We start from the raw sequence: 27863 nt of genomic DNA, 5'->3' as shown, positions 1-27863 counted from the left end.
AGGGAGCTGATCCGGGGCTTATGAGAAGGCATGGGAGAGGCAGATGCCCAGGGCTACACTCATCTGGCCTTCTTTGTATTCTAGAACCATCTGCAGGCTTAGGGAATGGAAGGTCCAAGGTCCTGGGCCAGACCTCCATAATCAGGCCCTGAGAAACTTGGACATGACTTCCAGAATTCCATCTTTGCCTCTCTCCCTCTCTCTACCTCTGCCTTTGCCCATCTCCCTATCCTTTTCCTGCCACACTTCCCTCCACATCTCCAGAGCCTCTGTCCTTCAAGACCCAGCTCCTCCCCTGCCCCAGCCCTGCAAAGTTTTCAGCCTGGGCTAGGCTCCTCAGGCACCCACTGCCCACCTCTGGGCTGGTAGGAATGAGATGATAGAGACTCACTTGGTAGATGGAGACCCCCGCCGGGATGCCTTCAAGCACCTCGGCCACAAAAGGCAGGTTCTGAAAGGTGGGGTCATTGTCATTGAGATCCAAGAGGTTCACAAACACTGTGGCACTGCTGGTGGCTTTCAGAGGGGGCCTGCCACCTGGGAAGACCAGGGCGAGAAGGGGCCAAGGACAGGGTAAGATGGGTGCAAGAGAAAACGGACAGGAAGAAGGCAAGTGGTGAGAGGGTGGCAGATTCAGAGCCCTCCATCCCAAAGGCCCCTCCAGGAAGCAGCCTAGGCCTCACAGCTCCCCTCCCCAGCTCCCTCCGTTCCCTCAGGGTGCTCTAGGAGTCACAACTGGGGCGTGGGTATTACTCTACTCTTGGTGATCAGACATAGACCTCCTGGGTGGGCCCCAGGTACCCCAGAGGCCCAGTCACCAGGGACACCCGCAGCCTAAGGTGTGGGGGCCGTGAGGGGCGAGAGGGGTCCATACAGTCAGTAACAGAGACGACGATTTTGCGCATCAGCTCGGCCTCATGGGGGTCGGGGTTCTCCCGGTCCAGCATGGCGTGGGTGGTGCGGATCTTGCCCGTGGTGCTGTTGAGGCTGTAGAACTTGTTGGGTGGCTGGATGCTGTACACCAGGGTGCCATTCTCCCCCAGGTCTGGGTCAACAGCCACCACCTGCCCGGGAGGGAGCAGACCCCTTCACTGAGCCGCGCCTGGGGAGGGTGTCTCTGGGCTGGCCGGGAGTATCTGAGCTCAGACGTTGGTCCTGGGGAGGGGACATCCTGGCTCTGGCCCAGGAAGTGGGCATCCCCGCTGGGCCCGGTAGGGGGGTCCGAGAGGGCTGGGAGGCAGGAGTTCTCTAGGGGAGGGGCTGGGAATGGCTGGGGAGTCTGTATTCCAGCTAAGATTTTTGAAAGGATTTGAAACCCTGGATTTTGGAGACTGGGTTCCTCCTCATCAAACCCTCCCTCCCTTCCTTCCTTTGAAGCATTAGATTGTGACACCAGAGATGACAGGGCATGTGAAGGAAGCCATGGCTGGGGCCCAGTTTCAGAAGGTGGGACCCAGTTAGCTGGGGCAGTCGCAGGGCTGGGGGAGTGTTAAGGAAGGAGAGGGTGGAGCTCCCTGGAAGGGAGGTACATGGTCCCTGATAAGGGGCAGGGTCTCAGGACTGGACCTCAGACACTCTGGCCCCTTCAACTCCCCGGCCTACAGCCTGGTTCCCCACTTATAACCCCCACGTCATGAAGGGGTCAGTGCTCAGTGCCATCCTAACCCAGGGGCGGTGAACCCCACAGCCTGCTGTCCCTTAGTGTCCCAGATCCCACACAGCCAGGTCATAAACAAAAGGCAAAGGGCCCCCTGCAGCCTTTGAGGGCTCCTCATCTTCGCCGAGGCCCCCTGCGTGCACCGATCCCCCGCTCTGTGGGGAAGCTCCCTCGTCCTCCAACCGCCCTACCTTCCACAAGGAGAAAGCAGAGCCCAGAGAGGCACAGGCCAGTCTTAGGGTCACACAGCACCAGCCTTGGAGCTGACCCAGCTCCCAGCCTGGAGGCTCCTGAGGTGGCCCCTTACCCCTCGCTCACCCCCGACCCTGCATTGCAGAGGCCACTGTGGCACCAGGGGTGGACAAGATCAGTGGTGGTGGGGGGAGAGAGGTGACTACAGTCCCTGGGGCCACATCAGGACAGTGTTATTCTTAACTGCAGGACACTCGGTGATGACAGCCAGGCTTGTCAGCTCCTTCATCTTACTTGATGTGGAGCCTTTTGTGCTTTGGCAGCAGAATCTGTCCCTCCTCTGCTTAATCCCCAGCCAGAGGTGTCTCTGGGGCCACCAGACCAGAACAGACAGATGAGCTGCCCTGGCTGAGAACTCCCATCTGCCCCTGTCCATGGGTCCTGGGGAGGCCGGGGAGAGAGAGGCTGATGGAGGGCTGAATGCTGTGGCACCCTAGGCAGGCTTCTCCTTCAGAGAGGTGGGGGCAGCCCCCACTCCCACCAGGGACTGCTCGGCCCTCCTCTCCCTTCCCAGCCTCGCAGCACCAAAGGGTAGAGGAGGGGAGGTCCCTGCCTTCCAGGTCTGAGGTGTCCTTATCTTGCTGTGGGCACATTGCCTCAGTTTCCCTAGCCTCCATAAAGGGAAGCCCAACACCCCCATTTTGCAAACAGGAGATAGGGCTCTTAGGTACTCCAGGCATAATTTAAAACAGGCCAAGTCGTTTCACAGATGGACATAGAAGACCAGCATTCCTTGTGTTTCTACAATGCTTCTCTCAACAGTTTGAAAAGGGAGAATTTTTTTTTCTTTGAGACGAAGTCTTGCTCCATCACCCAGGCTGGAGTGCAGTGGTGCAATCTCGGCTCACTGTAATCTCCACTTCTGGGGTTCAAGTGATCCTCCCACCTCAGCCTCCCGAGTAGCTGGGATTACAGGCAAAAGCCATCACGCCTGGCTAATTTTTGTATTTTTAATAGAGACAAGGTTTTACCATGTTGGCCAGGTTGGTCTCAAACTCTTGACCTCAAGTGATCCTCCCGCCTCGGCCTCCCAAAGTGCTAGGATTACAGGTGTGAGCGACCGCACCCAGCCTGGGGGAGAGATGATTTTCTCCCTATTTTATTTTTCTGGATGGGGAAACTGAGGAAGAGAGCAGCTAAATCACTTGTTCCAGGCCAGGCCTGTTGCTGAACAGGCTGAGATACATTTCACATGGTGGGTGGTTTCTCCTCTTCCATTCCCTCTTCCTGCCCCTACCATGCCAGAGAGTGCCAGGGTAGCTGCTTCCAAGTGATCCTGGTCAGGGCATGGGCAATGGTTTTGGGTCTCTTGACCCACTCTCTGGTCACAGGGCAGGTTGGGAGTACAGGAGAGGGTGGAGGGCTGTGACCTCTCCTGCAGGCTCCCTGCTGGGCGATTTTGTAGAATCTCACCACTTTCCCCTCATTTATTTCCCATTTCACGCCCGTCATTTTTCTCCTAGCCTGATGGGGAATAATTCTCTCCTTCTCCCCTCTCCTTTATTTTGCTGGAGGGCTTTGAAAGGCTCTAAATCAATGCCCATCAGCCAGGTCCTTGAAGGCAGCTGCAGGAGCCAGGAAGAAGAGTGGGACCAAAATCTCCCTTGCAGACAGAGAGACGGCCACTCCGCCAGCGCACACCAGTGCAGGTGGACATCCTCAGTGCCTGCATGCCAGGCCATACCCAGTGCATGCAGATGCACACACTGCACCAATTCCAAATGCACCCAAATGAAGCCACATGTGGGAAGACACTTGTCTGCATGCAAGCTCTGAAAATCACTGGGGTTGCCTTGTGCCTCCGACTCCAGGTGCTGTGGCCCATGCCATGTCTAGAGAGGGCTCTTGAGAGAGTCTTGGGCCATACGCCCTAGTCTACCTCCGACAAGGAAGACCCAGCCACCTCCTGGCTGAGCTAGGGGGTAGGGGAAAGGAAAGGTAAGATATTCACCAGCTGTATCAGTCCTCAACAACACATATTTTGAAATATTTTGAACACCTACAATGTGCCTGGAACTGTGCTAGGCAGTATGGTTTGACAGTGAACAAGACAAGTGCGATTCCAGCAAAGGAAGCAGATGATGGTAATGATAGTGATGATGGTGACAGCTACCATTTACCGACCACTCCCCATGTGCCAGTGCTTCCTATGTCTTGGCTCAGTAAGCGCTGATCACAGTTCTATCGGGTGGGGACTCTTACTAGCCCTATTTTTTAGATGAGAAGAACTGGAGCACAGAGAGGTTAAGCAACTTGCCCAAGGTCACACAGCTGGTAAGTGGTGTAGCTAGAGTGAGAACTTGGGCATTTTGGTACCAGAGGCTGCCTGCTTAATCACTAAACCACGTGCCTCTTAATAAGCAAATAGCCTACAAAACAAATAAGCACAGATTGTGGGTCCAGCTCTGCAGGAAACAGAATTTGGAGAGGGGTCAGAGCTACTTTAGACAGTAGTCAGGCAGGGCCTCTCTAAGACAGCTGACGTTTTAAGCTGGGACAGATGAAACAGAATGAGCTACCTATGAAAAGAGCAGGGGTCAGGGAGGAAAGGGCTCGTGCAAAGGCTCTGAGCTGGGGGAGAGTTGAGTGGGTGCAGGGAAACGAAAGGCCTGTGTGTTGGGGATGGGTGGTGGTTGTGGGCGTGGGTGTGTGCGGTGGGTGTGGGAAGGGTGGGGTGGGAGATGAGTCAGGTGGTGGGCCAGCCCCTGTTCAAATATCACCTCCTCCTTCTGTCACCTGAAACTCTGTTAGCTATTCCCTCTGTAGCCACCTCACCTCACACTTTGGCCACAGACCCTACCTCAACCTGGGGCACTGTGAGGCCCTAGAAGTCTCCAGGGGGTCCTCTCCAAGGTAATGAGACATACCCATGTATATACATATGTATGCATATATACATTTTATGGCTATAAAATTGGAAATAATTTTTATAACTTCCTTTTCAAAATATTTGGCTATGACAAACTTGACTAACATATAAGCTTCTTGATTTCTGATTTCCTGGCAATCATCATACGTAACTGGGAATTCCAGAAAATTCTGGAAAATTTTCAAGAATTCTAGAAAAATCTAACCTCCAATTTGTCCTCGAATGTAATGAAATTTTCACAAACACTAAATTTCATAGTTACTAAAGCTGCCATCTTTCATCTGATAGATGTTTCATATAACAAGTTTTAATTTTGATTTTGCCCTTTTATCTTTGAACTTTCAGGTCATCACATTTATTTTTCAGGTCTCAAATACTACCCTGGGGCACCAAAAATCTCCAGCCTGTGCCCACCTGACGCCAGCGGTGGAACAGCCACACCCGCTCTGTACTACAGATAGGGATGATGCGGCTGACTCCTCAGGGGTGACAATGGGGCAGACCCTGCGGGTTTTGTAGGTCTGGCAAGGGCTCTGGCTTTTGCACAGGGTGAGATGGGAACCACTGGGGTTTGAATAGAAGAGTGACATGACACTCCCCAAAGGCAGGCAGGGCGGGAGCTTCCTTTTTTTTTTTGAGACAGGGTCTCACTCTGTCACTCAGGCTGGAGTGCAGTGGTGTGATCTTGGCTCACTGCAGCTTCTATCATCCAGGCTCAAAAATCATCTTGCCTTAGCCTCCTGAGTATCTGGGACCACAGGTGTGCACCACCACACCTGGCTACTTAAAAAAAATTTTATAAAGGGGGTGGGGATCTTACTATGTTGCCCATACTGGTCTCAAACTCCTGGGCTCAAGCGATCTGCCTGCCTTGGCCTCCCAAAGTGCTGAGATTACAGGCGTGAGCCACTGCACCTGGCCTGGTGTTGCTTCCTGTACCCTCAGCCTGACAAGCGTGGGGCCTGGCATGCAGTAGGCATTCCCTGATAGCTCGTGGATTTCCTGGAAAGTGAGGAGGCACTGGGCAGCAGGTCCTTGGTCCATTGTCCATGCCTGCTCATGGCTCAGAAGGACATGTGGAGGGCAGGAGACCTGGTGAAGGGCGGGGGGACCAAAGCTTGCAGATGCCCAAGACTGTGTGCAGTCCTCACCTGGCACACCCACGCCTTGTCTGCCGGGTGTACTATTTGATAACGGCAATCCAGGCTGGTGTCCTGTGCAGCCCCCTTTTCCCAGAGCAACCTTCCTCACCTGCCCCTCAATCCCCTTTGGGAGGAATTTCCCAAAAACCTAAGGGAAAGGTGAGGGTTGACCAGAAGGTGTTCAGAGGTGAGATCCAGCCCCAGCTCTTGGAATCCCTGGCTGGGGTGGGGAGGAGGTTACCCTGGGCCAGTGCAGTGCCCACAAGGCGGCAGCAGAGAGCACCCACCAAAGAGCCTAGAGAGCTGTGTCAAAGGGCGAGGGTCCTGGTTTCTAAACCTGGCCCTGGGCTGGAAGGAATTCCTCTACGGGGCTTTGAAAAAAATCGCAGATTCCAGATCCCTCACCTCTGCCCTATTCCACTGTGCCTATTCCAGTGCCAGAGCCATACTTGGCAGTGGCTCTGGATGGGAGAGGAGGTCAACCTGGAAGGAAGGACAAAGAGGGAGGGAAGGATTGGCCGTCATGCCTATCTTCCTTTCCACATTGTTCACTGACTGGCTGTCAGCTGGTGTGTGGGTGCCCCCTCCCAGAGGAATAAGGACTGGGCCAGGTGGTTTCTAATCCCTTGTCTCCAAGTCAGACAGACCAGGGTTCGAGTCCTGACCGCACCCTTTACTAGCTTTGGGACCTTGGGCAAGCCTTTAAGCTCTAAGTCTGTCTCCTCCACAGTGCAGTGGCAACGGAATCCCTCTGCCTTGTGAGATTACAGTGAGGAGGAGAGAGTTCCTGAGAAGCCCTCAGGGGAGGCTCAGAGCACATCCCAGGTGTTCAGTCAATTGCCAGGATTCATGTCCCCCACAGGGCTGGGTGGGTGGCAGTGGGGATGTTCATGTGGGGACAAGCCTCCTCAAGTAAGGCCACGTGGTGTACAGGGTGGGGGAGGAGAAGGCTGAAAAATGTGGACCTCCCAGCAGAGCAGATGGTGTGGGGGTGGGACCTGGGCTTCCTCAGTTTCCCCAGGATTCTGGTCTCCGCTGGAGATGCCCTGGCTTTGACCGTGTCTCCCCTCTGCACCCTGAATTGTGCACATTCCTGCACATGAGCACACAACACACACAGGGGCCTGTGCAAACCTGGCAAACCTGTGCCAGAAAATTCCTGAGGTGAACAAAACCCCTGCTGGGCAGCCGTGGGGGCCAGCCCGTGGGGGAGGTGACCCAGATGGATGACTGCAGGGGCACAGCAGTGAAAGACAGGTGCTGGGGTGGAGCTGGGGCTTGTGCAGTGTAGGGGTGGGAGCTCTCCAGAGGGGGTGGCCAGAGTCCTGGGCTCTAAGGGCACGTGTGGCTCACAAGCGGAACCGGCCAGAGCTCCCCTGCCACTGTCCCTGGGCTGCCTGAAGCTCCCTTTGACAAAGCCTGAGGCCTACTGACACTGGAGGCCGGATGAGGGCTTTCCCTTGACCTCTGACTGCCTTTCACCATGCAGGAGAACCGCTAGAACTCTATTGCAAGAGCCAGCTCAGAGGGACACAGAGTCCACCAGCCCCATAGGGGAAGGCCCCCTGGAATCGCAGTGGGAGGGGCACAGACCCCTGGGAAGGGCCGCCTGGCAGTTCTGCTGCTCTGCCACCACCTACCGTGGTCACATCAGAGTCTGGAGGGGTCATCTCCACCAGGTTGATGTAGTAGGGTGCGTCCTTCCACGTGGGGTGGTTGTCATTGATGTCCAGGAGGGTGATGTTTACCTGTGAAGCCATAAGGGGCGCTGGGAGACACACCCAGCTGAGATGGGCCAGGGCAGGGCCTGCCAGGGGAAAAGTGCTCAGATGCCCACGGGCAATCTTCGCATTAATTCTGCCAGCTCCACCAACCTTGGGAGCCTTGGGCAGAGCCTGGGCTTTCGAGGGCAGGAAGGAGCCAGGCCGCTTCAGGAGAGAGAGTTCCAGTGTTGTCCCATCAGGAGGCAGTGGAATGGATGTGATAAGCCCTGAAATCCTTGCTGTGACCTGGGGCTTCCCCCATCCCTGCCTCCAGTCTTGGCTGAAGGTGACTGACAGGGTGGGGGATCTAATAGAATCCCTTGAGCCTCCCCGTCTCAGCTACAAGCCAAGCAATTTCCCTGCTCACCTGCCACCAGGTACATTATTTATAGGGCTCTGATTCCTATTAGTAGGAGCCTCCCTTGACAGAGTAGGGCACTGGGGATTTTTCCATCAAATCCCTGGCCACGCGATACCGTCTCCAGCCTCTCTGGCTGGGTAAGGATGGGGTGGCTGCTGCAGACTGGGTGAGGGCCACAGTTTTGAGGGTGAGCCAAAGAAACCGAATGGGGAACAAAGAGGGGAGGTGGCTGGAGTGACTGTCAGCTGGTCCTCCCGCTTCCTCTCCCACAGAGGGCTTCTCACTTCCCCTTTCACTTCTGCAGCCGAGAGCTCATTCGAGGCCCCCACGTTTCGTTCCTCTAGCTTTCTACTCTCTGGGGCACATTAGATGGGGGAGAACAAGCCCCCAGGGACCCTCCAGGGCCCTGCTTCCTGCTCTGAGCTGCTCTTCCTCGCAGGAATGCCTGCTTCTGCTTTGTTGACAGGCACCAAGGCAAGGAGGGGCCTATGGGGCTCATGCCTTCTGCCACCTGCCCTCCTGGATTTTTAGGGGCAGGAGAGAAAGTATTTCATTTTGCTCCTCCCAAGTGCCCCTACATTCCTGGTGGTGATGCCTTTCTTCCCCACAGCTGTGGTGGCCCCGGGGGCTGACCTCTGCTGCTGATGGGTTCATTTTCGCCCCCTTGCTCATTCTCACAAAGCCTCACACTGGCTCAGGACACGGGGGTCCAGAGGTACAAGCAGGGAGCAGCAGCCTGGCCGGCGAGGGGGAGCTGGGGCACGGGAGGGGAGCGCACTCACGGTGGCGATGCCAGTTTTCTGGTTGTGGCCCACACCCCCGTCCACTGCGCGAACGATGAGGATGTATTCAGACTTGGTCTCTCGGTCAAGCAGAGACGTGGTGGTGATTTCCCCTGCCAGAGAGAGAAGTGGGTGCGTGAGAGGGTTTGGGTGGGCCAGGGAGAGAGGGAGGGAAGAAGAGAGAGAGCGAGGGAAGGAGAGAGGGTGAGAACTTGCACGAGAAATGTTAGCAAGCTACCATGATCTGGCGGCCTGGATGTGTTCCTGAGCTGGTGCTCACAGTGGGAGACGGGAGAGCTCCTGTGCCTTGGGAGCTGGTTCCCCAGGGCTGGGCAACATAACCCCATGAGGAGGAAATATTTGCAGATGTGGGAAAATCTAGGCTGATTCTCGGGGTTAGGGGCTGGAGAACAGGGCAGGAGGGCCATTAGGCCTTAAGCTCAGTCACAGATCACCTCTTGTTTAGACTTTTGACATTATCTTACTGGCTTTCTCACCTGGAGCTAGTTACTTCAATCCTCTGTGCCTCAGTTTCCTCATAGGGTCCAAAGGGAACCATAATAGGAACTACCTCATAGGGCTATTGTGGGGTTAATTTAATTAAGATCATGGAAATCTTAGAACAGTGCCAGGCACTGTTTATTTATACAGTCACAGAAATACAATGACAGGAAATAAAAACACCGGGTGTTCACATGCGTCTAACTTGTGACTCATTACTGGACAGTTCAACCTATCCAACCTTATCGTGCATTGATAATTAATAGTTATAAAATAATTTCCTAATTACATTGTGAAGAGCATAATTACATTGCCTCGAGTTGTTTTAGTGTGCTAAATCTGAACAATTAAACAACATTTCTTGTTCGCCTGTATTTGGTCTTTCTTTGTATTTTGGTGTAACTGAAATGCAAACATCACCCTGATAGTGGCGTGCTGGTAAATGTTTGACAACTGGCTCCCCAAAATAAAAAAAAAAAAAGGCATTTGCCAATTTCCTTGGTGTAAATAGCCCCACCAGGGCCCATTTTAAGCTACCAACTTGGTGGTATTGAATATGGAGTTCACAATTGAGTGCCTCGCTAGCTCTTGGGAGCAGGGTGAGCCAGTCCCAGCAGACTTCAGCAATCACAGCAGCCAGGCCATTTACTATCTTGCATCAGCCATGGGAGAGCACCCACGTGGTGAAGATGTGAGATGTGGATTTGAATTCTGATTATGGCCCTTCCCAGACGCTTGGCCTTGGAGAATTTTAATTCTTTGAAGCTTCAGTTTTCTCATCTATAAAATGGAGATTAGTGTGACTTCCATGCAGAGCCGTTGTGAGGCTACAGTAATTCTAGGTGAGGCTCCCAACACTCAGAAAATGACTGTTTTCTTCCAATGGACCGTGAGCATTCTCCACGGGCAGGGCCTGTGTGCTATCCATCTTTTTATCCCCATTGCCTGAGCTGTGTGACCTGGGCCAAGTCGCTTAACTTCTCTGTGCTTGGTTCTTTCCACCATAAAACAAGGCAGCTGGACCAGATTGCTTTTAGGACTGCTTCTACCCTGACAGTTCCCTCTGTGGCACACTGGCTTGCCCTCTGGTCTGTGCAGGGGCTGAGCAGGGAGCTGGGGGTGGGTGACAGGGCAGCTTAGGTGCTGAGGCCAGGAATGGAAGACTCACAAAGGTCTGCCCAACGAGCCACACTCCCTGCCAGGGTGGTGTCAAGTAATTGGCAGGGCGAGGAAGAAATTAATCTCTAAAAAGTTTTAAACGTGAACTTGTCGGCATGATAGATGGCCTCTCCTGTCTAGGAAATTAGATCCAATTAAGGCCACCTCTGTGGAGCAGCCCTGGCTAATTTGACCGAGGAACTCAGAGGAAAACACTTACACCTTTGGAGACAAAGTCGTGTTAAGGCAGCAAGAAAATGTCTGTGTCATTAAAGGCCCCAGGTGGAGCTGGAGCCCCGACTGGGGAGGCAAGGGCGGGGGTGGCTAAAAGGCCAGGGAGCTACTCATATAATGGCGCCTTTAATGTTTGGATTCTGGAGTCAGAAGTTCGTGCTCTGCGAGTCCTCAGTCAGGTTACTTAACCTCCCCAGTGGCTCAGCTTCCTCATCTGGAAAATGGGGATAAGGCTAGTACCTGCCTCACAGGTGAGGAGGGCAGAATGAGATGCTGCTGCTGCTCAGAGCCCTGGGAACAGTGCTGGGCATGTGGTTCATATCCATTCATGACATGACTCTGAGACCCCTGGGAATGAGGGCTCACTGTGGGGGAAGCTCCTGAGAGCTGGGAGGAGGGCCCTCACTTTCTCAGAGATAGAAAAGGAGGCTCACAGTGGCCCTGGGTCCCCTTCCTCAGTCTTCGTACCCATCAGCACCGGCCATCTGCTCCCCAAGCCTCCAGGAAAAGGGATTGAAGGCTGACTTCCAACGTGGAGGGATGGATAGCAGGAAGAGCTGATGCCCTGCTGGCCACTGACCACCTGCAGCAGGGATGGCCAGTGTCCACCAAAGATTCCTGCTCCCTTCCCAGGGGAGAATTATTACTTGGATGTGACTGCCAGGCAGGGCCTGGCCCATAACCTCCTCCTAGTGCTCTGACAACCCATGCTCTCTTTTCCCTTCTGCAGTGACCTTGGAGCCACAACATGGAAGGGGCCTGGGTCCCAGAATCATCATGTGGAAGGCTGTCACTCAACATCTACATGGGTTGACTATATGAATTTGAATTTGTATTGTCTCAAGCCACTGAGATAGGGTGTAGCTGTTTAGCATCGACAGTTCCTTTAACTCATACAGAAATGCGTATTGGAAGTGGGGTGCCTTGCATGCCCACTGAGCTGACTAGCAACCTCATGAGGTCAGAGCCATGTCTTATTCCTTCCTGTACCCCAGCACCTGGCTCAGAGCAGCCCCCACCCCAATTTCTGAATGAACATATGAATAAATGAACATATGAATGAATGTACAGAAGTCCCAATTCTTCCCCAGGTCTGGCTGAAAGCCTGGATCTCTTGCTGCTTCTTTCTGCCCACTTTTTCTCCCAGCTTCAAGGAAGAGAGAAAACTGAGGAATGTACATGGAGAGACGAAGAAGAAAGAAGAGAGTTACATGGGCTGAGCTGGGAGCTGGGGGCAGGGGGCTCACAGGTGAATAAACAAAAGAGAATAATGATGGTAATTTTTTTTAGCACTTTTCGTGTGCCAGGGACTAATCAAAGTTGCTCCCTATTATGTATCATTTAATCCACACAACAGCCCTAATATGATCTTCCTCATTTTACAGGTGGGGAAACTGAGGCACACATCCGTGTAAGAAGAGGAGCCAGGCTTTAAGAATGAGGTCAGCAGCTGAGGGAGGGGGACCCTGAGGCTTTAATAAAGGTGTTCCTGAAGAGGGGTGTGTTAACCAGCTCTTTGTAAGATGGAGCACATTTAAAACATAATACAACTCTTCACCCTTGAAAGACGTCCTTCACTGGGTCAATTCACGTTGTGATTTTTTGGGTAAGATCAGTAATCACACTCAAATTAATATTTCATGGATTACACTGGTGCTCAAAGCTGGTCTGCTCAAAACTGAAAGGAAGGGGACCTGGGCCCAGAGGCTGGTCCTGGGGCCGGGTATGGACAGTCAGCCTCAGGGTGTGGAGGACCAGGGTACTTGGGGTGGGGGGGCTCACCTGAGCGGGCATTGATCCGAAACTGGGTGGAGCCTTCCAAGGAGTAGATGATGGACTCCTGGCCGTACTCCCGGGAGCGGTCCAGGTCTGTGGCATTCAGGAACAGCACCGTGGCTCCTTCAGGGGGAAAAAGGTGGGGGCAGGGGGTGCTGCTCACCCTGGGCCCCTGGCTTCAAGGCCCCAGCCCTGGGAGCAGCATTTGCGCTGGCCCAAGAGGAGGACGTGGGACCCTCCCAGTGACCAGCTCTCAGGGAGGTGGGAGGCCTGCCTGTTGCGACATCCCTGGGACAAGGGCGGCTCAATCGTTGCTCTTGGAGCTGAGATCGCTGGGCTGGGTGGGGACAAGGCTCATGAGAGGCTTAGGGATGGACTGGGCCCTCTGATGTCTTCCTGTCTCCCTGGCCCCTGCTTGGCTGGCCACTATATTAAATACACTCAGATTGGCCAACTGTCACTTGGAGTCAAAAGACATGAAATTCCATATTAAATTATTCTACATTTACTGTATTCAATTTCAGTCTAGTTTTATCTCGTTCAGGGGAATTTATAAGGGTTTTTATTTTCTCTTTAATGTTCAGTTAAGGCCTTCACTTTTATTTCCAGTTCCGTGAAATCCTGACTCAAGGTATCAGCTTTTCCAGCCACCCTGTCCAGACCCTGAGAACAGCTTGTCCTGAAGCTGTGCCCACCAAGGCTTCTGGCTCCAGCCCCTCCTGCCACCCAACTGCCAGCTCTGGCCCAGTGGTGAGGAGGTCCGGTGCACAGGTTCCTGGAATCTTCACACCCAGACTGGACCCCTCAGGGCCTCGGCAGGCGCCTTCACCTGCCTGAGCATCACTTCTTCCCCTGGGACCGGGTCTAAAGATACCCTCTAACTTGTGAGTTTGCTGCTGGGATCCTGAGGGATAAAGCATTGAGGCCACAGGCTGAGCCCCACAGGGAGCTCCACTGGGCTGCAGGGCTGGTGGTGACCATCCAGCGGATGAATCAGCAGTCCCGAGGGGCAAGGGGCCAGGCAGGCCATAGTGGCCCTGTGGCCCTGGGGCCTCAAATATGACCCTCAGGCCTGCCTTGAGCAGGAGGACAGGCACATGAGCCATAACATACCCCTGAAGAGAATTAAGTGCCATAGTGAAGGCTTCTCCTTGACACAGTCCCCAGGGATGGGGGTGTAGTGCTGGAGGCAGCTCTTTAGCAGTGACATTCTCCAGGGGATGCCTGACTAGGACAGGCAGGGTAGGCTGGGTGCAGCCCAGCACCCACCCAGCTCATTGTCAGGTGCCAGAGTGGTACCCAGAGGTTCTCTTTAGAAGGCCTCGTGGTGCCAGGAAAGACCAGTTCTGACTCCACCATACTGACTCCACCATCCCTGACTCCACCAACCCTGGCTCCACCACCCCTGACTCTACCACCCCTGACTCCACCATCCCTGACTCCACCACCCCTGGCTCCACCACCCCTGGCTCCACCACCCCTGACTCCACCACCCCTGGCTCCACCACCCCTGGCTCCACCACCCCTGGCTCCACCATCCCTGGCTCCACCACCCCTGACTCCACCACCCCTGACTCCACCACCCCTGGCTCCACCATCCCTGACTCCACCACCCCTGGACTCCACCACCCCTGACTCCACCACCGTTGGCTCCACCACCCCTGGCTCCACCACCCCTGGCTCCACCATCCCTGGCTCCACCACCCCTGGCTCCATCATCCCTGACTCCACCACCCCTGACTCCACCACCCCTGACTCCACCACCCCTGGCTCCACCACCGTTGGCTCCACCACCCCTGACTCCACCACCCCTGGCTCCACCATCCCTGGCTCCACCACCCCTGGCTCCACCACCCTTGACTCCACCACCCCTGACTCCACCACCCCTGGCTCCACCACCGTTGGCTCCACCACCCCTGACTCCACCACCCCTGGCTCCATCATCCCTGACTCCACCACCCCTGGCTCCACCACCCCTGGCTCCACCACCCCTGACTCCACCACCCCTGACTCCACAACCCCTGGCTCCACCATCCCTGACTCCACCATCCCTGGTTCCACCACCCCTGACTCCACCACCCCTGGCTCCACCATCCCTGGCTCCACGACCCCTGGCTCCACCATCCTTATTCCACCATCCCTGGCTCTACCATCCCTGGCTCCAGCATCTCTAACTCCAATGTCCCTGACTCCACTATCCATGACTCCACCATCCATGACTCTACTGTCCCTGATTCCAGCCTTCCTGTCTCCTTCAGCCACTGCAGCAGTTCCTGATATGGGCGTTTTCTTTGCTAGGATCATTTGCTCTGAGGGTAAGGGCGAAGCTGCCAGCCTGCCTCAAGGGCAGAACAGATCCCCTGGAACCTGAGTGTGGAGCTGGTGGTGCTGGGTCTGCAAACTGAGCCCTGCAACCTGAGCCTGGCCCAGAGATTAGCCTCTCAATCGCATCCTCACATAGGAACACATGCCCCGCTGTAAGGCCACCCCTCTGAAATCATGGCCCCTGGGACCTGCCTCACAGTGCTATAGTCTCAGAGCCCTCTGTATACTTGAGACTGTTTAATCAAGATTGCTTAATTAATCATGGATCATTATTCTTTCCCCACTAGACTATAGTTAGAGGAGAGCAGGAACCAAGTGCCCAGCACAGCACCTGCACATAGCAGGTGCTCTGGAACTAGCTGTTAGCTGGCAGGTAACTAGATGTTTCCAAAGGCTCCCCGATTTGTCAAGGAGCTTGGCCGGGGAAAGAGAAGGCCATGGACCTCCCACAATTTGTGTGCAGAGCCGGGGTCTGCACATCCTGGGTGCCGTGACTGCTGGCTGCCTACCTCCATGTGCCCCCCACCCCCCGACCTGAGCCTGTACCTGCCATGATGTTCTCCACCACGGAGACGAAGTAGGCGGGCTTGCTGAAGGTGGGAGGGTTGTCATTCTCATCCTGGAAGGAACACAGACAGGTTGCAGGAGGCTGCAGGGAGGCAGGTGGGCTGGCCAGATGTCTAAGGTGGGCACCAAGGAGTCAGGCTAGGTCTGGCTGGCCCTAAAGAGCTTTGGCCTCTCCGTATAACCAGAGCCAGGTGAGGTGTCAGCAGGGAGTCAGGTAACCCTCTGGCAGGCTACAGCTCTAGGAGGTAGGACCAGCCTTGGGGAAACATGCAGGCCTCAGGAAGGGATGGGGAGGCCCAGGAAGAGGGAGTGTGCCGGCAGCAGCTGGGACTGCCGACAGCTGCCAGCTCCCCAGGCTCCCCGCTGGTCCTCCAGCTGAGCCCCAGGCTCACTCCAGCACTCACACCCCCAGCTCCCATGCTGGGGATGCCCACTTGGACCCCTGCGTAGGTCCACCAGGATGATGACAAAAGCTTCTAGGACTCTCCTCAAAGATACTGAAGTATGCTATGGCAGCTCAGGGTCAGGTGGTTCCCAGAGCCCAAACTCTGGCCCTGGGCTGGCTGCTGGCAGGTACAGCTAGATTCCTCCTTGCACATGAGAACAACGGCTCTTCCAGCCCCTGGGCCACCCCTGGCCTAGAGCCCCACCCCTGTCAGTTCTAAAGCAATATCTCTTCCAGCCCAGCCTTTGCCAATAGCCAGAGCACGGTGCTTGGCTGAGGGGCTGAGCCTGGCAGGGTAGGGTGGGCAACTTCTGCCTCCTGCTACGCACCCCCCAACTCCTTCACACCGCGGCCCTTCCTCTTCAATTAGAAGAGACTTTCCTGCCCTTTAATACTCTTATCCTCACCAACCACTCTTGCAATCTCCCAACAAGAATTCCTCCCTGCTTCCCTCTTGGAGGAAGCCTCCCCAGCCCACTTGGCTCATGACCTTCTCCCCTTTCCCAAGAGTCCAGTGCAGAGCTCAGGAGTCAGGCTGAGTCCCGGCACCGTTGGGCAGTCTTTATGTTACAGTCTTTGGCAGTTCCTGTTCGTTTGCTAGTGCAAATAGGAGTTCCATGAGAAGGCCTGGCTTCTCATGGAACTGAGAGCTCTTAGGGGGAAAGGATCCTGTATGAAGCCCCCTTTGCTGGAGTCGCTGCTGACAGAGCAGCCATGAAAGATGGGGGCATGCTCTCTGGCTGCACCCCCCTTGGGACATCAGAGAATCTCAGCCTGCTAAGATTGTGGGTGCCCAGACAGGAGTGATCCTCTCTTTCTCCAATCTGCCCCTTGGCTCTGGATGGCACCCTGGGTCACGCTGACCTGCCCCTCTCCCCAGATACCCAGCAGTCTCAGGATTCCCCTGATGTCCAATGCCCCAGCTGCGTGCCTGGGCATCTCCCCTGTCCCTGGTGCGGGTGCGAGCGCCCCATATACTTATACATTTAAGCTTCTGCTTGGCTGCACGAAACGGTGTGGAGAATGTCAGTGACAGAGCATGAGGCAGAAACTTATTAGCGGTGATATTTCCCCGGATCTTGGCGCTGCATTCGCTATTAGTTCTAAATCAGCGGCTCGCTCTACAAAAGCTTATTGTCCCCTAATGGGAAATCTACAAACCGAGTTTGACTTCTTTATTAAAAACCAACAAGCAGTGGATGAAAAAGAATCACCTGGCCCCTCCGGCCCCTCCTCCTCCTGGAGCCCTGTGGTTTCCATCTGCCTCTCCCCACCCCCAACCTGTGCAGGAAATGCTGCCATCAACAACTTCATTGCTGCTGGGTTTTTAAATTCCAATTGGGAGAAAATCCTTTTGGTGGAGGGAGGAGGCCGCTTAGCCGAGTGACAGCTACTTAAAAACCAGCCACGTGCAAAATCACCCTGAAGGTGGTGACCTTTTCAAGTGTGGTCCTCAGACACAAGTGACTGTGCCATCCAGAGGCCCTGCTTGAGAGACAATGTTCACTCATAGCCAAGGTGGCACCTGTCTTTGTTGCCAGACTCTCCGGCTGCCCCAGGGCCAGGGTGTACTCGGAAGGGAAGTGCAGGGCCCCTGCTTGTCCCTGGGATGGCTTTGAGGGAATTTGAAAATGGGGCCTCTTCTACTAGGCCACTGTGGTTTCATGCCAGGGCACACCCTGGCTTCCCAAGTGCAAAGTGAGGTGGGTTCTTACCCCCACCCACCTCCTCTGTGGTCCCAGGGAGGGAGGCTGCTGGTCACACTTTTATTTGCAGGGACAAAAAGTGAGTTCAGTCCCTTCACCTTCATCTCTCTGCATGCTCCGGCCCCTTTTAGGGGGGCTGAGGCACAACGAGATGCTCCAGTCCCTGCCTTAGCTGAGCTACAGGTTGGGACAGGTCTGGGGTTTGGAGCAGAGCTCAGGTTTCAAAATCTCATGAGGGTGGGTCTCTGAAGGCCTTGCTCCTCAAAGTGTTGTCCCCTGACCAGAAGCATCCACATCACCTGCAAGCTGTGTGGGAGGACACACAGAATCCCAGCCCTGCCTCAGACCCACTAAATACGAATCTGCCTTTTAATGAAATCCCCAGAGAATTCCAGGGCCCAGGGAAGTTTGAGAAGCACTGGTCTCAGTCATATGTGGATAGGGATGACCAAGGTTCCAGGCCTGTGGCTGTGGTGGAAAGCATGTCAACATGGGAGTCATTCAGGTCAGGGTTCAAGTCCCAGCTCTGCCAGTAAGGAAGAAAGGCACTGGTGAGCCTGGGTCCTCCCTGAGCCTCAGCCTCCCCATCTGTAAAGTGGGACTGAAAGGGGCTGGGTCATGTGAAAGGACTTGGCACGTTCCTGGAGCTCAGCACATTTTAGTTTCCATTTCGCTACTTAGGCCTGTCTAGCCCCGGGCTAGCCAGAACACTTAACTTATTTCCCTAGACCTCCCTTACTCTTACCCTCTCCAGCATCCACTCCCCAAAGCCTGAATGGCTCCCTCTCTGCCTCAGCCCACTCATGGGAACTCCCATTTGCACTAGCGACAGGCTGGGGCATGGGTGCGGCTGCTGCTATGCATGGCTGTCATTACAGCGATAAGACATTCCAGGTGCCAGGTGCCACCTGCACAATCCCATTTCAGCCTCACAAAAATATCATGAGGCAGGTATCACGATTACCACCATTTTGCAGATGAGGAAGTTGTTTCAGAGACCCAGGTCACACAGCAAGAGGGCAGCAGAGCCAGGTTTCAAACCCATGTGCCTCCACAGCCACACCCCTCTTTCCACAGCCACACCCCTCTTTCCACTTGGTGTCTCCAGGGGGGGTGGAGCAGGCTGCACATTCACCTTCCTGTCCTACTGGGGGCCCAGCACAGAATTCACTGCCTCCTTGTGCAGAGCAGCATCCTGGCTGGTTGAAAGCGATGGGTGGGTTGGTCAGGGTTGTGAGTGCAGCTACGATTAGAGGAGGCTTGGGGGCTGTGGTCAAGTCTGGGAAACTAAGGCCAGGTTTAGGTGATGTGGTCAGGGTCGGGCCATGGGGTAAAGTGCCAGTCCATGGTCATGACTGCCAGGGAATGCATTATCGTTCCCTACCCTCGGTGTTTCTAGGTGGGAGGTTACAGGTTCGAGTCAGGCCGTTTTTTTTTGTTGTTGTTTGTTTGTTTGTTTGTTTTTTGAGATGGAGTTTTGCTTTTGTTGCCCAGGCTGAAGTGCAATGGTGCGATCTCGGCTCACTGCAACCTCCACCTCCTGAGTTCAAACGATTCTCCTGCCTCAGCCTCCCAAGTAGCTGGGATTACAGGCACCTGCCACGATGCCTGGCTAATTTTTGTATTTTTAGTAGCGATGGAGTTTCACCACGTTGGTCAGGCTAGTCTCAAGCTCCTGACCTCGTGATCCACCTGCCTCAGCCTCCCAGGGTGCTGGGATTACCGCGCCCAGCCCAGGTCAGTTTTAAGGTTTCTGAAGATCTCCTGGTCCCTGTCCTCCTTCCCCCAACACTCCCTGAAGTCTGAGGTGCCAGGCACAAGGACTCCAGAAGCCAGGCCCCAACTCTCTGCCCTTCCCTTTGCTATCCTGGTTCTGTATAGCCTCATCCTCCTGGCCCCCCCTAAATTCTGCTCCCACATGCCCAACTGGAAGGCTCTCCCATCAGGCATCACTTTGACTTTCCCATCACTTCCAGCTGCATCCTATTCAGCAAGCAAATTGGGTCCCTGGCCCAGACAATGGCCTTTCCGCTTGGAAGCTGGCCCTGGAGCTTCAGCCTCGGGTTGAGAAGACAGAGCTTGTTAAGGCCGGGCGTGGGCAGTGGCAGAGGCTGCTGGTGAAGCTGGCTGTGACAGGAAGGCTCTCCAGCATGTCTGCTCCAGGGTGAGATTTTCCTGAGCTTATGTGAAATCACAGCGCATCTCTGAACCTGACAACCTGATCTAATCCTCCCGGAGCCGATAATGCACTAACTCTTCGATCAACACGCGTTCGCTGTCTCCCACAGATGGGGAGGGGGCAGGCGGTGCATGCACAGGTGTGTGTGGGGAGGTCTCCATGCGGAGGGGCCCATTGGTCCCGCTGTCATACCACTCTCTGCATCCCCGTGTGGCATTGGGCAAATGAACCAGCGTGGAGATGGATTCAGCAACTGATAATTTCAGACACAGAAAATACTAAGGTGTGCTTGATATTCATGTCAGAGAAACTGTGGCTTGGTTTCAGACCGCTTTAGATCTTCAGAGGAGTGGAAAAGGGAAGAAAAAAAGGAAGAGCAGGATAGAGAGAGAGAGAGAGAGAAGGGAGAAGATGACCTTCTGGTCATTCTTCTGTTCTTCACAGAATGCAGCCATAAATGAAGGAAGCCCACGACATTTCCTCCTCACTTGACTCCCAGCTCCTGTTCCCCACCGAGGGTGTCCTGGGGCCCCCAGTGAAGTCAGAGCAGACAATGTGTCTCTTCCTGAGTACCAGGGCCCTGGGCCTTCCCTGGCCAAGCGGGGAGGCAGTGAAGTTGTTGCAGCAGTGGAGAGACTTGCTAAGGGCAGGCTTTGGGACAGATGGCTGGGTAAACTCCCCAAGGTGCAGGGACAGCCAAGGAGGTGGGGGCCACAGTCCTACAGTACTGGGTTCACAGGAAGCACTCACCATCCCTTACACTAGCAGGGCAAGGCCAGTGGCCCTGGGTACTTACAAACACCTCGATGGTGACAGGGACGGTGCTGTTGAGAGGGGGGTTGCCAGCATCCATGGCCATGACCGTCAGATAAATCAGCCCATTGGATATCTGTTCATAATCCAGGGGGCGACTGACGCTGATCACTGCAATGACAGGAACAGGCCAGATCCCTCTGTAAGCAGACTTGAGATGCCCGTCCAGACAGGGGTCCCCTTTGGGCAGAGAAGTTATGGCTGGCATGGCCCGGGCCAGCTCTGGCTTGTTTTCTGAACACCTGGAGCCTCAACATCTCGACTGAGGTTTCCTGACTGCCTGAAATGTGCCAGACCCTGTGCTGCGCCCACCAGGTGATAGCTGGTGGTAATGTAAGCCCCACTTTTACAGATGAAGAAACCAAGCTCAGAGATGTTCAGTAACTTGCCCAAGGTCACACAGCTCTCAACAGAGTGGGGAGATGAGCCTAGGTTTGGCTGAATCCAGAACCCAGGCTCTTTCTTAGTAGGTGCTCCTGTCTGCTTGTCTGTCTGTCTGTCTGTCTGTCTCACTCACTCATCTGGCACTTTATGGATTTTCCCCGTCAGTCTGGAAGCTGCTCGAAGGACAGGGTCATGCCTTGGGCCCTCCAGGCCTCCCTGTCACTACTCCTCTCTCCAGGTAAGCACAGAGTTCCCCAGAAGTTGCCCAGCACTGGGGATGCCAGGGAGGACCAGGCAGTGGGGTGCAGAAGGCAGGACCCTCCTCGGTCTCTAGCCCTATTTCTCTAATCTTCTTCCCTCCCTTCTCCTTTATTTATTTTCATTTAAAAAAATTTCTTTGTAGAAGCAGAGCCTGGCTGTGTTGCCTAGGCTGGTCTCGAACTTCTGCTTCAAGCAATCCTCCCGCCTCGGCCTCCCCAAGTGCTAGGATTACAGGCGTGAGCCACTGCCCCTGGCGTCTCTCTCTTCTCTTCCCTCCATTTCCTCCCCACTTTATGCTATGGGCTCTTCATACCCATCCAGTCACCTACTCTGGGCACTGTTTAGACCCCATGGGGAGGTACTCGGGGTTAGGTGCTGCAGACCTTACCTTCAACAGAACTCTGTTTAGAGGTGGGCGAAGAACCCTAAGGCCAAAGGCAGACCCAGGCTGAGAGGCAGGATTTGCAGGGAGCTAAGATAGATGCCTGTGCCCTGAAATATCCCTACCACTGCACACGACTGAAATCTCTCCATTAGTACTTGTTTGTGCTAAGCCATTGATTCTCAACTGGGGAGGGAAGGTATATTGGCTTGGGAGTGGGGGGCATGGGAGGTCTTAGAAGGCATTACAACAATATTAAATTACAACTTTCTATTTGGAAAAGGGAAACAAGATTATTGCTTTAGTAATATAAAATCTAAGGGGGATTCTTCTAGTTGAGAGGAGGGTGAGGTATGGGGCAGGCAGAAGCATGGAACTTTTAAGTTTTTGAAAGAGGGATGGGCCAGGCACAGTGGCTCACACCTGTAATCCCAGCACTTTGGGAGGCTGAGGCAGGAGGATGGCTTGAGGTCAGGAGTTCAAGACCAGCCTGGCCAACATTAGCAAAACCCCATCTCTACTAGAAATACAAAAATTAGCTGGGCGTGGTGGCACGACTGTAATCCCAGCTACTCGGGAGGCTGAGGCTGGAGAATTGTATGAACCCACAAGGCGGAGGTTGCAATGAGCCGAGATCGAGCCACTGCACTCCAGCCTGGGTGACAGAGTAAAACTCTGTCTCAAAAAAAAAAAAAAAAAGAAAAAGAAAAAAAAAAAAGAAAGACAGAGGGATGTAGATTTCATAGAGAATGCAATTTCTTTTTCTTTTTTTTTTTTTTTTTGAGACGGAGTGTCACTCTGTCACCAGGCTGGAGTGCAGTGGTGCAACCTGGGCTCCCTGCAACCTCCGCCTCCCAGGTTCAAGTGATTCTCCTGCCTCAGCCTTCCGAGTATCTGGGATTACAGGTGCACACCACCACGCCTGGCCAATTTTTGTATTTTTAGTAGAGACAGGGTTTCACCATGTTGGCCAGGCTGGTCTCAAACTCCTGACCTCAATTGATCCGCCGGTCTCGGCCTCCCAAAGTGCTGGGATTACAGACGTGAGCCACCGCGCTGGTCAGAACTGCAATTTCTACAGTGGCATTTCTCTGAACTGAACTAACTGTGGGGTAGTGGGAGGAATGACCACTGGACCCAGAGTCACTCAACGCACATCGATTCCTTCTGCCCTGGGGGCACCTAACCCAGGCTCCAGGAATCAGAGAAGCTTCCCAAAGGAGGAGGTGTTAAATGAGCCCTTAAAGCTAGCCAGGGGCTACACACTGGACAGCCAAAGGGAGGCAGGACCAAGGGGCAAGGAGGAAGGGCTTTCCTGGCAGAAGGAACAAACTCTGCAAAGACATGGGGGTGAACACCAGTAAGGGGAGACAGTGTCAAAGTGTTCAAAGAGGCTGGACTCTGGTGGGGCAAGGGCTGCTGAGAGCTGAGGCTCGCAAGGCAACCAAGGGCCAGACCACACGGGGACTTGGTGCCAAGCTCAGCAGCTTTGCAGGGTGAGCTCAGGCAAGTTGCTCCCTGTCTCTGGGCCTTAGCTGCTTTATCTGAAAAACAAAATAGTCTCTCTTGGGATCTTGGAGCTTGAGGTTGCTGCTATTTCCTACCAGGGCTCTAGGGATGGGGACCCACAGCAGGCAGCAGGGCATGGTGCAGAGTGCCTGGTCCCACACGGCCGCCCAAAAAGTAGGGAGTCTTGGCTAAAGAGCTTCCATCCCACGGACCTGCCTGCAGCCTTGGTAAGAAACAGAGAACCCCAGAGATTCTGTTAACATCACACTTCTGGCTCGATTGCAGGGCTGGCCATGGCCTAAGAACCAGAGAGAGATCCTGCTGATGAGGGACACAGATGTTGACCCTACGGAAGGGCGACTCAGGCCACATCCTGCTCCACCCCAGGTGCTCCGGGCAGCTTCCTGAGTAGCCCAGAGTGTCAGGGAGACAAGGAGTGCCCGCCTCATCCCCACAAGGGAGGTGTGAGTGCAGAGAGCCCCCCAGCCCTCCTCCTGGCTGGGCCCCGAGTTCTGCCCCACACCTACCTCCATAGCCCTCGTACAGGCTGATGTCGAAGTAGCTGCCAAAGGCAGATGCACTGACAATGCTGTAGGTGATCTGGTTGTTGGGAGGGGAGTCTTCATCTGTTGCCTGAAAGGAAGAGGGCAGACAAGGGCCGTGAGCCTGCAGGAGACTGGGGGCCAGAAGAGGGTGGGCAGCTGGGAGGGTGGGGAAGACTGGCCCTGTTCACAGCTCCTTTTTTGGGTGATCCAGCCCTGGGTCTTGTCCTGGCCCAGGACGCCAGGAGGCACCCCTTGTGCTTCAACTGGAGGCCGCACTCTGGCTCCCAGCAGACGCCCTGCTCCCCTCCATGTGCTGGGTGTGGAGGCAGCCTGGGGAATCTAGAGGGCAGGTGGGAGGCGCAGGAATAATGCAGAGGCCGGGCCTTCCCAGAGGCTGAGACACAATTACCTCCCACCCCCAACCCCAGCTGGAACACCCCCACCTGCAGATGCCCTCCCTGACTCCCGGAGCCGGTTAGGGCCCTAGGGTTGCATACCCCATTGGTCCCCTTACACCCAGTGGTAATTTCTTATCTAATTTCTGCCTCCCTCACTTAGACCGTCAGCTTCATGTGAGCAGGAACCTTGTTTCTTGATTGCTGCTGCATACCTACAGGCCAACACAGTATTTGGCCACAGTGGGTGTCTAATCCATGCATGTTGCATGAAAGCAAGGAGGAAAGAAGGCACCTGGAGTGGGGCCAGGGATCCCTCTACCCCTTGACTGTCTTCTCTGGGAGCTGAATTAATAAGCTTCTTTCCAGGTTGTCCCTCACTCTAGAGCCTCCAGTGGTCCCCACCACTCCGGGTACACCTGGAGCTGAGCAGGGAGGGCAGGGCAGGACAGGGTTGTACGGGGGGCCGTGGCCAGGCTGGGCGGGCACATGTTCTGTTCTTCTTGGTATCCCCTGTGCTCACCCTTCCAGCCTTGCCTTCATCCCTACCTGCTTCAGAAACAAGTTCCAAATGGAGGCTCTGGGTCCCATCCCTTGGGGTAGGCAGCATGGGGAAGGGGGGACATTTAAAAGTCTCTGGTTAAAGGTCACTGAAGCCTAGTGGGGGACTTGCTGCAGGAAGCACTTGGAGAATAGCATTCCGGGACTAGACCTGGCTCTGCTACCCGACTATGTCTTCGTGGGCAAGCCTCCTCCCCTCTGGGTTCCCCTTCTGTAAAATGGGGTTGCACTCCATGGTCTCTGTGGCTCCTTCCAGCTGCAGCACTTCCTGATTCTAGTCAGTCGTTAAAGGGCTTGGAGGAGGTCCTGACACAGGGAACTGCTCCCCACTCAATGCCCTTGCTAAGGGAGATGGCAGTGGATGGGTCGGGGGGTGGGATCTTTTGCTAAATTCTGACCTAATATTTAAGCTGAGACAGACACTGTGTATAAAGCCCCACTTGGTACCAAGGATATGAGGCGTTGCTCAGAGAAGGCCCAACACAGACCAAGAATTTGACTCTGAAATCTGTGCAGTATTCTTTGCGGATAGAAGGTCAGCCCCTCTTGCAGTGGGTTCCCTAGGGGGTTGGTCAAGAAGAAAGCACAGGCTAGGCACGGTGGCTCAAGCCTGTAGTCCCAGCTGCTAAGGAGGCAGAGACAGGAGGATTGCTTGAGCCCAGGAGTTTGGGGCCGCAATGAACTCTGATTGTACCACTGCACTCCAGCCTGGGTGAAAGAGTGAGACCTGTCTCATAAAAACAAAAACAAAAAAGAAGCAAGCAAGCAAGTACAGGGAGAAGGCTAAGATAAATGGCAGGAGTGCAGGGCTCCCTGGCACCTTACCCGGAGCCGCACCAGCTGTGTGACAGAAGGCTCGTTCTCCCGCAGAGCACCCACGTAGGCATCCTTCTGGAAGGTGGGCACGTTGTCGTTGACATCCAACACATTGATCCTGACCCGGCCTGTGGTCTCCTCGCCGCCCCCGTCCCGGGCAATGATCGTCAGGGTGAAGCGCTGGATGAGCTCATAGTCCAGCCTGGCAATCAGCATGATGAGTCCCGTGTCCTTGTCCAGCGAGAACCTGTGCCAGGCCGAGAGGATGGAGAGAAGGAACACCGTGGTTTAAAACAGGCTTGTTGATGGGGCCGGCATTTCCCAGCCTGTCCTTGCCCAGAGTGACAAACAGAAACAAATGAAGTCTGAAATCTGCCTTCCCTTTCACTTGCCCTGAGAAGAGCTGCTATTTCTAAAGGGGGTGGGTGGGTGGCGGGGATCAGGATCACACGAGGTGGGCAGGAGGAGTTGCCTGATTTAAGCAAGGAGGAAACCCAGGCAGAACAACCCTCCTGCTATGAACAGGAGTTCCTACCTACTGCAGATATTTAGATGCTGGAGAACTGTGAGGGTAAAAACGTGTGCCAACCCAGATCGTTTTGCACCAGAATGCTAGGAATGGGCAGAAAGCAGCTGGTGAAGGGCAGGGTGGTTGGTCCGCTTTTGGGAGCTGCCCCTTGACTTTGAGGAAATGAGCCTTGAGTGGGAGGCTGGTAGACATCTCCCAGGTAGCAGAAAGGTCCGGCAAGACAATGCCTCCAACTACCTCATCTAAATGTCCCCTCAGGAGCCTCATCTGAGCTGTCAGTTGACATCTGTGTGCTCTGACCACAGCTGCCAGCCACCAAGCCTGGAAGGTTCTGGCTTGGAGTGAGGAAAGTCTCAGGCCCAGAAGATGGGAAGAGGTGAGACCATCCAAGATGACCAGGATAAGGCCACGTGAACACGGGTTCCCTGGGGAAAGGGCTCCCTGTGCATTCAGCCATGCTGGTGACTTCCTCCCATTTCAGACCCCCATCACTGAGTGACAGAGAATGGACAGATGCCCCTAACAATCTCCCTGTCTCTTCTTTTTTGAGATAGGGTTTCACTGTGTCACCCAGGCTGGAGTGCAGTGGCACAATCTCAGCTCATTGCAACCTCTGCCTCCCAGGTTCATACCAGTCTCCTGCCTCAGCCTCCCAAGTAGCTGGGACTACAGGCGCCTGCCACCACGCCCGGCTAATTTTTGTATTTTTAGTAGAGATGGGGTTTCACCATGTTGGCCAGGCTGGTCTTGAACTCCTGACCTCAGGTGATCCACCCTCCTCAGCCTCCCAAAGTGCTGAGATTACAGGCATGAGCCATGGCATCCAGCTCCTTCCCCATCTTTTCTTGATCCTTCCCACGGATAGCTGGGGCCAGTCATTCAAGCTGACACCCACCGCCTCACTCACTCCACCGGGCTTCCCAGTGCATCAGACACGTGGCCTTCGAGCATGTTAAAAGTGAGAGGGGGCCGGGTGCAGTGGCTCATGCCTGTAATCCCAGCACTTGGGAGGCTGAGGTGGGTGGATCACCTGAGGTCAGGAGTTTGAGACCAGCCTGGCCAACATGGTGAAACCCCATCTCTACTAAAAATACAAAAATTAGCCAGGTGTGCTGGTGGGTGCCTGTAATCCCAGCTACTCAGGAGGCTGAGGCAGGAAAATTGCTTGAACCTAGGAGGTGGAGGTTGCAGTTTGAGCTGAGATTGCACCATTGCACTACAGCCTGGGCAACAGAGTGAGACTCTGTTTCAAAAAAAAAAAAAAAAAAAAGTTAGAGGGCTGCCTTTGGCTTGGATTAACTGAAGACAAGGGAAAGAGATGGCCCAAAATCAAGCCCGGACCAATTTACCATGAAGGGTGATGGGGCAAGGCTGGCATGTGTTAGGCAGGGAGGTGAGTAACCCACCTACAAGTTGCTGCATGTTGAGAGCCCTCTTGGGGCAGGCTGTGTAGCCTAGTGGTGAAGGTCACATGCAGAAGCCTGACCACGGCACTTATAGCTGTCTGACTTTGGACAAGTGACTTAGCCTCTCAGAGTTGCACTTTCCTCATCTGTAAAGTGGGGATGATAAAAGTGCCTAGCACTGAGTTCTTCTGTCATTTCACTGAGAGGATGACACAAGACAATGCCTGTGAAGCCCTTGGCCATCATGAGCCTGACATGTAGTAACTGCGGCTGGCGGTGGTGGCGGTGTGCTGTCGCTAGTACTTCAAAGCCTCTCAGAGACACAATGGATCCATTCCCAAAGCTAAAGGCTATCTTTTGAGGGTCAGATAAGCTGTGCCCCAGAGAGTTGAGGAGACTTGACCAAGGCTGTGCCACAATCAGAGTCAAACCAGCCACAGTGCCCATGGGTTCCAACTTCCAGTCCAGTGCTCTAGCCACAGGACCCAGCACCTCCCTCCCTGGGCACTGAAAAGTTCCCAGATCTCATGAGTCTGGGGAGGGCC

At 54.5% G+C, this 27863-nt stretch overlaps 1 protein-coding gene across 3 annotated transcripts in view, besides 4 other annotated features; it reads right to left on the bottom strand.

Annotated features, from left to right (window-relative positions):
• Positions 1-27863, bottom strand: part of CDH23 (cadherin related 23) — a 419028-nt gene that overhangs the window by 112862 nt on the left and 278303 nt on the right. For all 3 annotated transcript variants that reach the window (NM_022124.6, NM_001171930.2, NM_001171931.2), the window contains exons 16-24: positions 25393-25630; positions 23594-23699; positions 20514-20641; positions 15367-15439; positions 12502-12618; positions 8827-8939; positions 7561-7668; positions 875-1064; positions 392-537 (exon numbers count right to left, since the gene is read on the bottom strand). In NM_022124.6, the coding sequence (NP_071407.4) occupies positions 392-537; positions 875-1064; positions 7561-7668; positions 8827-8939; positions 12502-12618; positions 15367-15439; positions 20514-20641; positions 23594-23699; positions 25393-25630 (1219 nt within the window). The remainder of the gene's footprint in view (positions 1-391; positions 538-874; positions 1065-7560; positions 7669-8826; positions 8940-12501; positions 12619-15366; positions 15440-20513; positions 20642-23593; positions 23700-25392; positions 25631-27863) is intronic.
• Positions 562-1475: an enhancer, noted in NCBI's record as "H3K4me1 hESC enhancer chr10:73461368-73462281 (GRCh37/hg19 assembly coordinates)". NCBI's record gives its function as "activates a minimal SCP1, AML or CMV promoter by ChIP-STARR-seq in naive H9 embryonic stem cells {active_cell/tissue: H9 hESC(naive)}" and the evidence as "EXISTENCE:reporter gene assay evidence [ECO:0000049][PMID:30033119]".
• Positions 1476-2390: an enhancer, noted in NCBI's record as "H3K4me1 hESC enhancer chr10:73460453-73461367 (GRCh37/hg19 assembly coordinates)". NCBI's record gives its function as "activates a minimal SCP1, AML or CMV promoter by ChIP-STARR-seq in primed H9 embryonic stem cells {active_cell/tissue: H9 hESC(primed)}" and the evidence as "EXISTENCE:reporter gene assay evidence [ECO:0000049][PMID:30033119]".
• Positions 8964-9033: an enhancer, noted in NCBI's record as "active region_3517". NCBI's record gives its function as "activates an Ori minimal core promoter by ATAC-STARR-seq in GM12878 lymphoblastoid cells {active_cell/tissue: GM12878}" and the evidence as "EXISTENCE:reporter gene assay evidence [ECO:0000049][PMID:35858748]".
• Positions 15241-15755: an enhancer, noted in NCBI's record as "H3K4me1 hESC enhancer chr10:73447088-73447602 (GRCh37/hg19 assembly coordinates)". NCBI's record gives its function as "activates a minimal SCP1, AML or CMV promoter by ChIP-STARR-seq in naive H9 embryonic stem cells {active_cell/tissue: H9 hESC(naive)}" and the evidence as "EXISTENCE:reporter gene assay evidence [ECO:0000049][PMID:30033119]".

Source organism: Homo sapiens, chromosome 10, assembly GCF_000001405.40.
Source record: "Homo sapiens chromosome 10, GRCh38.p14 Primary Assembly".
Classification (NCBI taxonomy): domain Eukaryota; kingdom Metazoa; phylum Chordata; class Mammalia; order Primates; family Hominidae; genus Homo; species Homo sapiens.
The sequence above is the reverse complement of the archived record's forward strand: the minus strand, read 5'-3'. Positions and strand labels throughout refer to the sequence as shown.